Source organism: Homo sapiens, chromosome 22 (genome assembly GCF_000001405.40).
Source record: "Homo sapiens chromosome 22, GRCh38.p14 Primary Assembly".
NCBI classification, from domain to species: Eukaryota; Metazoa; Chordata; class Mammalia; order Primates; family Hominidae; genus Homo; species Homo sapiens.
In genome coordinates this window covers 46,034,443-46,047,467 of record NC_000022.11, presented here as the reverse complement: position 1 = coordinate 46,047,467, position 13,025 = coordinate 46,034,443, and the positions used below count along the sequence as shown (strand labels likewise).

General features: G+C 52.2%; 1 protein-coding gene and 2 long non-coding RNA genes across 3 annotated transcripts in view, besides 2 other annotated features; 1 reads left to right on the top strand and 2 right to left on the bottom strand.

The window, feature by feature from the left end:
* LOC124905135 (collagen alpha-1(III) chain-like) overlaps nucleotides 1-2,824 on the bottom strand; it is a 69,285-nt gene extending 66,461 nt beyond the window's left edge. The window contains exon 1 of the mRNA XM_047441696.1: nucleotides 2,461-2,824. The gene's annotated coding sequence lies outside the window, so the exon portion shown is untranslated. The remainder of the gene's footprint in view (nucleotides 1-2,460) is intronic.
* On the top strand, nucleotides 2,600-7,561 carry LINC00899 (long intergenic non-protein coding RNA 899). Its single transcript, NR_027036.1, has 4 exons — nucleotides 2,600-2,859; nucleotides 3,769-3,905; nucleotides 4,828-4,894; nucleotides 6,416-7,561. It is a non-coding gene; the product is annotated as a long intergenic non-protein coding RNA 899 (long non-coding RNA).
* Nucleotides 7,031-11,358, bottom strand: LOC124905136 (uncharacterized). Its single transcript, XR_007068137.1, has 2 exons — nucleotides 11,255-11,358; nucleotides 7,031-10,144 (listed from the first exon to the last, which is right to left on the bottom strand). It is a non-coding gene; the product is annotated as an uncharacterized LOC124905136 (long non-coding RNA).
* Nucleotides 11,070-11,669: a silencer, noted in NCBI's record as "silent region_13895". NCBI's record gives its function as "represses an Ori minimal core promoter by ATAC-STARR-seq in GM12878 lymphoblastoid cells {active_cell/tissue: GM12878}" and the evidence as "EXISTENCE:reporter gene assay evidence [ECO:0000049][PMID:35858748]".
* Nucleotides 11,730-11,819: a silencer, noted in NCBI's record as "silent region_13894". NCBI's record gives its function as "represses an Ori minimal core promoter by ATAC-STARR-seq in GM12878 lymphoblastoid cells {active_cell/tissue: GM12878}" and the evidence as "EXISTENCE:reporter gene assay evidence [ECO:0000049][PMID:35858748]".

The following is a 13,025-nucleotide window of genomic DNA, read 5'->3' as shown; positions in this document are numbered from 1 at the left end:
GAGATGTAGGAGAGAAATTCCTGAGCTGCCCAGAAGCAGGTGATGTGCGAGAGAAGCCAGCAGCCACGGGCCCCTGGAGCAGCAGCCGCTGATACTGAGTGCCTGCCGTGTGCTAGCGGAGTGATCGATGTTCACAGCGATTGTCACCGTTCTCCCAACAACGCAACTGATACAGAACTCTTTTTGTTTGTTTTGTTTGTTTGTTTGTTTGTTTGTTTTTTTGAGACAGAGTCTCGCTCTGTCACCCAGGCTGGAGTGCAGTGGCGCAATCTCGGCTTACTGCAACCTCCGCCTCCCGGGTTCAAGCAATTCTCCTGCCTCAGCCTCCTGAGTAGCTGGGACTACAGCTGTGTGCCACCACACCTAGCTAATTTTTGTATTTTTAGTAGAGACAGGGTTTCATCGTGTTGGCCAGGCTGGTCTGGAACTCCTGACCTCATGATCTGTCTGCCTCGGCCTCGCAAAGTGCTGGGATTACAGGTGTGAGCTACCACACCTGTCTGGCAGAACTCTTATTAAGCCCCTTTTATGAGTGAGGAAACTGAGGCCCAGAGAGGTGAGGTTACCCAGCTAGAATGAGGTAGCGCTGGCAGGTGGAGGCAGGCCTGCCTCAATGCAGAACTTCCCTATAAGCCCAGGATTTTTGGTATGCTGCGACTCTACTGCCTGGGACATGAAGAAAGTTCAAGTTCAGGTTCACTTTCTGCATCCTATCTTTCCTTCATTATACCCTGGGCGGGTATAGAAGGTCCCCCAGAGGGTTTGGGGATGGGGCAGGTCAGGTTCCTCATTTTAGGGAGATTTTAACTTTAAGTGGGCTCGAGCAAGTGTTAATTACCTGGACAGTTCATGCCTGTGGAGGCCGACCCTCCCTGTGGTGCTGGGTCCATGAGATACAGACTCTCCTGCCTCCCTGCTCCCCAGATCCCCGGGGTCTCCTGCTCAAATCTTGGGCTGGGGCCAGGGTCACTAAGAAATCTGCTTTCTTTGAACACTAACCAGTTCAGGCGTACACAGGAGTTGCAGTCTCGGGGTGGGGGCATGGGTTGGGTTCAACCCCAGAGTGTTTCCTCTGTCCTGCAATGTGCTCAAATTTTGGACATTTCATGTACAAATCTGGATTTCTTCTGAAGTCAGAAGCTCTAACAGCCTCAGCCCTTATCCTCATGGCAGCAACAGGCTAGAGCCAACTGGGCACTCTGTCCCCTGCCGTCACTGCAAACACCCTCTGTGCTCCAACTGACGCCTGTAGGCTGCCCTGTGACAGCCCTGCCAGAGAGTCCAGGGACATGGTGGGGTGACCCACTCAGATTCTGGCTGGCCAGCCCTCTCGGCTTGGGTGCTCCCCTGAGGAGGACTTTGGGAGCGTAGGCACCCAGGGATGGAGGCAAGTTAGCAATGCTCTCTGGAAGGCTGGGGACCTGGCCACCACTGGGAGTAAGACCTGACAGATGGTCCCTGCTGTGGTTGGGGGCACCTGATCAAACTGGGAGGCTTGTGGAGGCCCAGGCCCAGGACAGGTCTGTGAGTTTCCAGGGCTTTGCCACCGCCGACTGGTGGGGTAGGTTTCTATCCCAGGAGTGCCCCCCAGGGATCAGACCAGTCACAGGGACAGAGGCCTTGTCTCAGGCGGAGAGAGTGGCATGCAGAGAAGCTAGCTGGAGGTATGGGCTGGGCCTGTTGCAGACAGGAATAGGGGAGGCAGCAGGGTCCCTCACCTGCTCCCCAAGGAACAGGCTCTACAGGGCCCCAGCTTCTCCTCCTCCCCAGGCCCTGTCCATGGCTGTCCTGTGACCCAGCACCTGCCAGGCTCACTTGGCACTGTGGTTGCCCCAAGCAGAGCCGACAGGACAGTTGGTGGCCAGGGAGTCTTGCTCAGGATGGTCACCCAGGACGGTCAAGGGAAGTCACTCAGGATGGTGCTGGGGGTGTGGGGGGATCAGGAGCAACTTCCACCTGAGCCCCAGGACCGGAGCATTGCAGCGGCGAGGGGCTTGCCTCCTTGTGCTGTCGGGGGTCCCTCATCCCACAGGCCCTCACCTCCTGTGCTGCCCCTGGGCAGCCTGGCCTCGGAGGGTCAACACCTGAGGGCCCGAGGGGCATCCATGCCCCCTCCTCCTTCCCTCCAGCCAAAGGTGGGGGGCAAAGCGCAGGGAAGAAAACACCAGGAGAAAACCAGAGAGCTCTCGGTTCTCTTTTAAGAGCCCTGATGGCCGCAGCGCAGAGCCCGAGGGGAGGGAAAATGTCGGGAAAGATTCTCTTCCGAACTTTGCGAGTCTTTGTTTGGGAGGCTGGGGGCTGACTTCGCCGGGGGCCGGGCCGCGGGCTCGGCCGTGCGCTCCGGTGCAGCGGCCGAGGAGCCCCGGCGCCCGCCACCCCGGGACACGCCCTCGCAGTCGAGCCCGGACCCCGACCCGGACCCCAGCGCCGCCGGGCGAGGGCGGGAGGGGGAGCGCTTACCAGATCGTCCCGAGCGCGCCGCGGTCCAGGCGGGCACAGCGCAGGGTCAAGTTCACGTCCGGCCCGCGGGCTGCCCGAGGTCCCCGGGCGCGGCTGGGGCAGCGGGAGGCGCGGGAGGCCGAGGTCCGGGTGGCCGCCGCGGCCGCCCCCGAAGCGCTGCTGTCACCCCGGCCGCGCCCCCCAACTTTCTGCACAGTCGCGGAGCTGGAAGTTTCCGGGCTTCGCGGACACGCTGGGCTGGGTTTCAGTCGCGGCTCCGAGGTTGGCAACAAAGAGGGAAAGAAGGAGGAAAAGCAGGCCGGGGAGGGGAGGAAGAGAACCGCGCGGAGGCCGCGGCGCCGAGAGCCCCAGAACTTCCAATTCTACCCAGAAGCTTTTTTCGTCGTGTTTTTCTCTTAGGTAAACAAGCAAGTTCCACGCCCCAGTCCTGCTGGGGCCTTCGCCAGCCACCGCTCTGGGCTCATCTCCCGGCGCCTCCTCGGGGCACCTGAGCGTTTTAAGCCCCACTGCCAAGTGTTTTGGACACAGGTTTTTTTGCGGGGTGGTGAGGTTGGGCACAAGATGCTTCCTAAAAGGTTGTTGGCACGCAGACCATGGCCCCAGTGACGGAGCGGTAGGCAGGGGCTTGAGGAACACGCTGTCTTTGTCTCGTCCCCAAAGCACCCGGCCGTGGGTCACCCGTGATCCCTGGAGTGGAGGGACTGTTGTGACCCCTGGTGCTCCAGGAGAAGGGGTTCCATGCTGGGTCCCGGGCCCAGGCCCACGGTGCCCTCAGCCTGCAGTTCTCCACCTTGCGGAATGATTTGCTGGCCCGGCCCAGCTCCCCGGCACCACCATTTTCTGCCCTCTTTTCCCTGCCTGGCTTCAAACCCTCCCAGGCAAGGGTCCCGAGGAGACACCTGGGCTGGGGGAGGCAACTGAGTGGCCCCAGGCCTGGGAATCTGCAAAAGTGGCCAAGCCACATCTCTCGAGACTGCAAGGGCCCTGGAGGCGCTGGGAGGCACAGATCTGGCTGCCAGCTGGGCCTGAGGCCTCCCTTTGTCCGTCCTTCCTGTTCTTCCTCACCAGGTGTGTTTACGGAGAAGACACTCCGGGCCAGGCCAGCTCCTCCAGAGCACTATTTCAGGCTGGGGAGAATGCGGATTTTTTTTTTGTTGTTGTTTTTTAAAGAAAAATGAACAAGGAGCCTGGTTGGGGATTGGGGTGGGAGGAATATTTGTCTTTTGTCCCACAAACGTGTGTGATGCTCCAAAGGGCTGGAGAACCTCTCTCTTAAGTGGATATTTTTCCCCTCAAACGACTTCTCAGACATGATCCTCTCTGAGGTTGGTCCTGGGCTTCCATACGTGATTCATGGAAGAGGTCTCAGCCCCAAGAGCCCCTGAGGGTACTGTCCACTCCCCCTGGAAACTTCCAGAACCTGACGTGGGGCTGAAGACATAGAGGTAATGGGGATGGGCTGGTGGGGCGCTGGCTGGGACAATGTGTGGAGCCCTTGTTTTCAGAGCTACAGATGCTTGTCAGCTGACAGTTCGTTTCCAGCATCCACAGTGGACCTCCTTTGGGGGAGCATTTACCTGCCAATGAACCCCAAGATCCTTTCTCAGAGGCGGCGGGATGAAGTTTTCCTTTTTTTTTTTTTTAGTTAATATATTTTATTTAAACCAATATATCCAAAATATTATCAGTTCAACATACGATCAAGATAAAGATTAATGAGATACTTTACATTTTCATACTAAATCTTTTTTTAAATTTTTGTGAGTACATAGTAGGTATAAACATTTAGGGATGAAGTTTCTTACTGTGTTTTCCCAGTAACAAGCACTGGCATCAGCTGTCATGATTTCTCCCCAAGGCCTAGGATGGTCAGCCTCGCACGCTCCACAGCAGAGTGACTGAAGCTCTATCGAGGTGTGGCACGAGCGTGTTGTCATTTCAAGAGAATCTGCAGCCTCCCTGGTTTTTAATGAAAGCTCCTATGCAGGGCCTGGCCCTTTCCTGGGGAGGGAAGGCTGGCTGTGTCTCCCGCTGCATCCTCACTGGGAACTTCATTCCTGAGCTGCGACCGCTATTTTTTGGATTGGAAAATGCCTTGGGAACGGCTCATCTTCCTGCGGCTTGAGCCCATTTGTTTTCTGACTGGTGGTCACTGGTGATTAGAGTGTGTCCCAAAGGGAACCGTCACCTTAGTTCTATCATACACTATCAATAACTTGTCCAGGGCTGACTTTGTGGCTGTGTGGCTTGCCCAGTGGTAGAGGGCCGGTGTGCAGAAGGGCCCCACACTCAATGTTTGGCTGTCCCCGGTCTTAAAATTCTTAGTCATTCTTGAACAAGGGAACCCATATTTTCATTTTGTTCTAGGCTCTGAGAGTTACATAATTGATTCTGACTTTGGCTGTTGGTCAACAGTGTCATAAGGTAAAATAAGGTAAAAATCTATGATTTTTATATTTCTTTTTTTCTTTCTTTCTTTTTCCTTTTTTTTTTTTTTTTTTTTTTTGAGACACAGTCTTGCTCTGTCACCAGGGTGGAGTGCAGTGGCGCAGTGGTGCGATCTTGGCTCACTGCAACCTCCGCCTCCCGAGTTCAAGCGATTCTCCTGCCTCAGCCTCCTGAGTAGCTGGGACTACAGGTGCGCACCATCATGCCCAGCTAATTTTTGTATTTTTAGTAGAGACGGGATTTCACCATGTTGGCCAGGGTGGTGGTCTCGATCTCCTGAACTTGTGATCCGCCCACCTCGGCCTCCCAAAGTGCTGGGATTACAGGCGTGAGCCAACGTGCCCAGCTGATTTTTATATTTCTTTTACTAAATTCTGTTTACAGAAATAATTCCAGATTCTATGTAAGATACAAATATTTTAACTGAAGATCATTGTATTTAGGGAAAATGTTCACCTTTAAGAGACAGGGGCTGGGCGTTGTGGCTCACGCCTGTAATCCCAGCACTTTGGGAGGCCGAGGCTGGTGGATCGCACGAGCCCAGGAATTCCAGACCAGCCTGGGCAACACGGCGAAACCCTGTCTATGCAAAATATACAAAAATTAGCCAAGCATGGGGGTGTGCACCTGTAACTCCCAGCTACTCCAGAGGCTGAGGTGGGAAGACTGCTCAAGCCCGGGAGGTCAAAGCTGCAGTGAGAGACCTTGTCTTAAATACAAACAGGCAGGAAGTCGTTATAAGCATAATACAATCCTGGATGTTGGAATCATCCCTGTCCAGCCTTGGCTCTGCCACGTGGGTGCTGAATGCTGCCTCAGGGACCCTGGTGCCCAGCTCCCACCTGCAGGGTGTTCTGAGGAGCCAGCACGCTGGGAGGGCCTAGCAGGAGATGTGGCATGAACCAGGTATTCGATAAATAAAAAGTGCCTTTGATTGTCACGTTTATCATTTGACATGTAGGCACAGGTGCAGTTTGATTATTTTTAATGTAAGTCTATTTTATCTCTTCCCGTTATAAAAGCAATACACACTGTGATAGACGGTTTGGAGAATTCAGGAAAGAAAAAGAAAAAGAAAAAAAATTCCTCCTAGGCCCTCTGCTCCAGAGCCTCCAGCCGTCACATGACAGTGTATTTCTTTACAATTACAGAAATAGATACGTGACTGTTACATTTTGAAACTTTTTCTTTTACCTTGACTTATTTTTAAATAGAAACACTAGTGAGGCCCCACAGAACTGAGCAGAACTAATGGCCCCCCATGTGGTGGAATAGTTCTGAGCTGGCCCCACTTTGGATGCAGCCTTCCCCGGCAAGTCTAAACCCAGTCTCTGTGGCTGCCTGTTCACAGGGACCGTGGACTGTGATGTTTACAGTACGAAAGCACTGGGAGAGAACGCTACATCACAAAGTGTCCTTAACCTGCTGCCGCCTCAGCTTTCCCATTTGTGACTTGGTTAAAAAAAATTTTTTTGACAGTTTTAAGCTCTTATTTTAATTTCCACAGGCTGTTGTAGAATCTGCTCAGCCAGGGAGGGGAAAGGAGTCGGCAATCAGGTCTCCTCCTGGGCACCTTTGTGAGGCCAGCTGGCGAGAGTGGGGGGTGACACTGAGGTCCCAGCAGCTCCAAATGCAGGCAGAGCCCTGTCCTCAGAGAAGGTCACAGCCTAGCCAAGCCCAGCCAGGTGGATGGGCCCACGGAACGCACAGGAACCTGGAACGGAGGTTGAAAGCAGGAAGCACAGTCTGTGACTCCCCAGCCCACTCTGCATTCGACCACTTGGGGCCCAGAAGCTTCAGGAAAGGTGCACAAGGTCACTGGGTCCCAGTACTCCCAACAGGAAGGTCTGGTCCAGGGACAGGGCTCTTCCCGACTCCCCTTAGCCACACGCACCAGAAGTTCTGCAGTGCCCAGTGGGCATAGCAGTCCCCAAGAATGACCCAGCACTGAAGCTGAGCCAAAGAACTTGGGGAGCGAGCCACACCCCCTCACTCCCTCTTCGCCTGCTCCAGACTTGCCAGGCGGTTGCTTTTCGTGGGAACCGGGATGTCCTCACCACCCTGTCCAGGGCCCAGCCCCATGTCCCTGGCCTGCTACAGCTGGAAAAAAAAAAGAGAGATGTTTGTTTTTATTTGTTTATAAAAAGAAAAGTGTTATATATATAACATATTATACCTCATGAATACATACAATTATTTGTCAATTAACAATAAAGAAAAATACAGCAAGCAAAAAAGACTCTCTTCCACAAAAATAGTGTTCATTACAGAAAAGTACAAAAAAAAAAAAAAAAAACTAAGAGGATATTTAGAATTAAGAAAAAACTAAGAGGGTATTTAGAATTAAAAAATAAAAAGAAAACAATTACCCATGAGGTAATTACTGAATGCATTTGGTTGAAAGTCCTTCTGCTATATTTTCCAAACTGTATGTGTATATATGTGCGCATGCATATATGTGTTTGTGTGTGTGTACACATATCTATATGAATGGACCATATCGTAAGTTATAAATGCATACATATATTCATGTATATATAATCATTAGATCATACTATAGGTTATTTTACAGTCTTTTTGTTGAATACGTTGTGAGCATTTTATGTCATTATTTTCTACAAGATTTGAAAAATAAAGTATAAATACCAGTTAATTTTTGAAATCAACCTTATTAAGGAATAAGTTCCATGCAGCAAAATCCCTTTCACCTCTACTGTTCGATGAGTTTTGACAATGTATGCAACCGTGACATGTATCACCACGATCAAGAAAGAAAACATCACCACAAAATGTTCCCTAGAGCCCCTTGCAGGCAGTCTCTGACTTCCTGGCAGCCAGCAATCTGAATCCAACCACCGTAGATCAGTTTCAATTTATTAAAAAAAAATTTTAACTCATGGAGTATGAACTCTTGCTCGGGATCCTGCTATCTATGTTGTTGAGTTTATCAATAGCCCATTCCTTTTTACTGCTACGTGATATTTTATCATATGCCTATTGACATTTGTTTACCCACTCACATACTGATGGACAATTGAATTGTTTGTGTTGTCTGTTTGTTTGTTTTTTGAGACAGGGTCTCACTGTCACCCAGGCTGGAGTGCAGTGGTGCAATCTCGGCTCACTGCAACCTCTGCCTCCCAGGCTCAAGTGATCCACCTCGGCCTCCCAAAGTGCTGAAATTACAGGCGTGAGCCACTGTGCCTGGCCTGTTTCTGATTTTTTAAAATGTTTGCTATTGTGACTAGAACTTTGTGAATGCCAATTAATTTTTACAGTGTTTTAATGAGCAATGTCACCCGCACGTGCTGTGAATGCCCACGCATGTGGGCACAGCCTGTGTGTTTCCTTCCTGGAGCACTTGAGATGGGGAAACCAAGAGATGGGGGGTGAAGAAAGGAGCCAGAGGCCACACAGCTGGTTAGGAACAGGCTAGGGGAACCCAGCCTCTAAATCCCAGTATTCCAGGACAACATGCTGCCATACTCTCACAACACTTGCCTGTATCAGAAATGCTTGTAATTTTCCCACACAGAGAAATTTCCATGAAAATCAAGTTGTGGGCTGAGAGATGAAAGGCAGCCTCATGTTAATTAGGCAGGCTTTGGTTTGGTCCGTCCACCAAGCTCAGGGGTGTGTGTGAATATCTCTATTTTCATACACACATGCACACACGCACACACACACACACACACACACACGGACACGTCGCTCACACCCACCAACGCCAGTGGCGATGATCCAGTCCAGATCTTTTCTATACTGCCTTCAGAGCACGTGGCCAGACTGGCTTCTGACTTTACAGTCGTGGCACATGCTGGCCCTGGACAGGAGGCCCTGGCTTGGCTTCTGAGCATCCATTCAGCAGACTTGTCTTAAAGGATGTCTGATTATTTCCGCAAATCAAATCTCCCCTCAAGGACAAAGTTCAGGCTGCTGGGGAGATTCAAAGGGATGATCTGTCTGCAAGACGGCTGCTTCCAAAAAGGTGTCACGGCGGCCTGGGAGTGGCTGTGCCCAACAGAAGGCAGGGGAAGAGGAGGTGCTCCTTGGAGTATGGGCACCCTGGGTGTCTGTAGAGGATTCTTGGGCCACTCTACCGTAGCTCAGCATTGAAACAGAGACAATGTTTGATTTTGCTCACTTATTAATTAGCTCCTAGTTATGTGTCCAATGGGGCTATTTCCATGATCTTATTGAATCCTAAATAACTATTATCCTGCTTTTACAGATGAGAAACGTGAGGCCCAGAGAGGTTAAGAAACTTGCCCAAGGACACACAGCAGTGGGTACTCAGTCCAAGAATGCCCATTCTTTGCAGACACAGGCTTCTCATCTGAGTTAGAGGTCTCTGCCCATTTGTGGCTAGCAGGCTCCAAAGAACACACGTTCACTTGGAGCTAGCTCGGGTAGAACCCTAAACAATTCTAGTGTGCTTGGAGGACACAAATGGTGCAGACCCCCACTTCCTGTTCAGGTCTCTGAGGGGCCCTCCCTCCTCAGACCACACCCCACTGCTGAGCAGACCTCTAGCACTTGTCCTGGCCCCCATTCAAAAAGGCAAATGTCAGCTGGGCGCGGTGGCTCATGCCTGTAATCCCAGCACTTTGGGAGGCCGAGGCAGGCGGATCACGAGGTCAGGAGATCGAGACCATCCTGGCTAACATGGTGAAACCCGTCTCTACTAAAAATACAAAAAAAAAAAAAAAAAAAAATTAGCCGGGCTTGGTGGCGGGTGCCTGTAGTCCCAGGTACTCCGGAGGCTTAGGCAGGAGAATGGCGTGAACCCGGGAGGCGGAGCTTGCAGTGAACTGAGATCGCGCCACTGCACTCCAGCCTGGGCGACAGAGCGAGACTCTCAAAAAAAAAAAAAAAAAAAAAAAAAGAAGGCGAGTGTCCGGTCCCTGAGTTGAGCAAAGAAGAATCACCTCCTCTCAGCCCTCGGTCCACAGTCTCCATGGTCTTGAAGTCAGCGGGCCTAAGGAGGCCTCTGTCCACGGGAGATGAAACCAGGAAAGGAAGGGCCCATTCTCTCAGAAAACATGTGTTTTCTGTTTACAGAGGGACCTGTCCAGTTCCCATGCTTTGTTCTTTAATATGGAGCCAAAAAAAAAAAAAAAAAATCAAATGCGCAGCTTCCGCTCTGAGGTACACTTGAAGGCTAGAAAGTCCGGATTGCTGCGGGCTCATTGTGCTGGGGTGTCCTATCTGCTGCTGACGTCCAGCATATACCAACCTGGAAAGCCAAGGAAAAAGCCAGACTGCCCCCTCCGCATTACAAGGGAGGACGGGGTACAGAGGGGAGAGGCAGCCTCGGCACCCTGGGGGCTGGCTTGACACTGTGTGAGCACACTGGGGGTGTTCTGTTGTGCACTTGTAGCCCTGGCACCACAGGCCCAGCAGGCTTGGCGCCACACACCGGCCATTCAGATCCTGGGCAGAGGGCATCCTTTCCCACCCCAAGCAAAGGGAGGCAGAGTATTGGGAGATCTGGGGTAACCAGTGGGTGGGAATCTCCAGGCAACCTGGGTCAAGCTGAGGGATGCTGAGCACCTTCAGAGTTGGGAGAGGGGCTTAGCTCTGGGTAAGCGGGTCTTCCAACTCGAGGAGGCAGCAGTGAGCTAAGGTAATCAACAGAGCTGCCAGCCAGCTACACCTACTGAAGGGAAACTATTATCACAGGATGCCGGCTCAGCACACAGGCTAACAGCTGAGATTCAGTATCAAGGATCTGGGTCCAAATCTAGGCTGTGTCCCTTTGCCCTCCAGGGCCTCTGGCAAGCTGCTTCTCTGACCTCGGCCCCTCATCTGTGAAAAGGGGTGGCATGCACGTTTATACAGCTGCCAGGAGTACTGAGATAACACATTTACGTCTAAGTCCAGGATGGCCTGGCACATGCTTTTCAATACACGGCAGCTGCCGTTGACATCTCGGGGCTTTAGACTTCACCGAAGGGGCACTCTGGCTAGAAACAGCTCACCAGCTTAGGCTGTCACAGCCAGCGGAGAGGGGGTCCTACAATCCCTCCCACCCAGGGCAGACCCCGACTAAGACGGGAGGATGCCTCGCTGGGCCACACCTTCCTCCCTGTGCAGAAGGGGTGACATCAGTAACCGTGGTTGACAACGGAGCCTAGGGTTCTGATGTCACTTCTGCCCGGGTGGTGCGTCCAGCTTAGGCTGAGACGAGGGGTGGCCCTCGACCCAGTGCACAGGGTCAGCCCTGGCTCCGCGCCTCCGACCTCTCGGGGGCTGCAGCAGGGCCTGGCACGCGTGTCCCCGGGGCCGGGCCGCTGGCCCCTTTCATCTCCGCCTCCCGGCTGTCCGGCCTCTACGTCCCGCGCACCTGGGGCCAGACGGGGACAGCAAAAAACCATCGCAGGAAGCGCGCACGACCTCGTTTGGGACCAGCCCGCCTCCCGGGCGGAAGCCGCGGCGCCTTGGACTGGACGGTCCCGCCCGCTCTTCCGTCCCGCCCCGGAAGTCAGGACGAGGGCGCGACGCGCGGCGCGGTCGCAGTGCCGTAGCCAAAGGGGCGGGGCCTGGTGCAGCCGGGGGGCGGGGCCTCGGCGCGACCTGTTCCGGAAGCCCCAGCGAGGGTGAGGCGGGCGGTGCGGACGTAGCGCCGCAGCTGAGGGGGCGGGGCCAAGTCTATCGCCGGGCCTCTACGCGCCAGGGGCGGGGCCTCTGGGTGGCAGTCTCTTAGATTCCAGGCCGCGGGCTGTGCGGATGTTGCGTCACAGTCGAGAGGGCGGGGCTTGGGCGGGGCCTGGGCGGGGCCTCTGCGCGGCCCGCTCAGAAAGCTCAGGGAAAGGCTCGGCAGGCGGCTGTGGGGCGGGGCCTGGCGGGGCTGGGGCGGGGCCTGGGCGGGGCCTCATTGCGGCCGCGGGCCGTGGGGCTGATTCCGAGCTTTCGCGCAAATTGGATCTCCACTTTAAAGTTTAACAACTTTTCCTGTATTTTTCCCCTCCCTAAACCAGGTAAAACAACCAGACAGTGGAGAATTTGTAAAACCTAGGCGAGTACAAAGTAAGAAAAGGAGAAACCTTTCCGAGGCACCAGGGAAAATACTGGCCTGGAGTATCTTTTTATCGAAATATATAGATATTTACATCATCGGGATAACATTGTATATATGCTTGTGGCTTAAAAAATAACATTTTTTGTCTGATTGCAAGACCACACGTTTATTGCATGAAATTTGGAAAACTGGAAAAAAATACAAAGAAGAAAAGTAGACTGAGATTCCCTCACACGAGATCACCATTGTTAACATTTGACTTTCTTTTTACACAATTATGCATTTGTTGAGACAAAAAATGGATCATGCCGTAAATATTGCTTTGCAACTTTGTCTTTGTAACCGTGGCTATATTCTAAATGTCACACATCATTTAGTGTTCATTCACAGCATTGCTTATGATCATACACAGCGGGGCTGTATTTTATTTAACCCATGTGAGATTATTGGATATTGATGTTGTTTTCAGTTTCATCTCTTCCTTACTTCTTTCTTTTACGATAAACATTCTTGCAGCTAAATCTGTGCATATCCAATCCCTAGATGTGGAATTGCTGAGTCAAAGCATATAAACACGAATGCTTCTTGTACCTCCCTTTTTATGTTTTCCAAATTTAAAAAGTAATGAATTAGTATTTTAACAATTGGTTTAAACTGTAGTACTGTATATACAAAAAATATCTCTCATTTGCAGAATATGTAAAGAAGTCCTGGCTGGGCATGGTGGTTCACCCCTGTAATTCCAACACTTTAAGAAGCCAAGGCAGGAGGATTGCTTGAGCTCAGGAGCTCAAGACCAAGGCTGAGGCGGGTGGATCACCTGAGGTCGGGAGTTTGAGAGGAGCCTGGCCAACATGGAGAAACCCTGTGTCTACTAAAAATACAAAAATTAGCCAGGCATGGTGGTGGGCGCCTGTAATCCCAGCTCCTCAGAAGGCTGAGGCAGAAGAATTGCTTAAACTTGGGAGGCAGAGGTTGTGGTGAGCCGAGATCGTGCCATTACACTCCAGCCTGGGCAACAAGAGTGAAACTCTGTCTAAAACAAAGCAAAACAAAACAAAACAAAACAAAAACAAGCTGGAGACCAGCCTGGGCA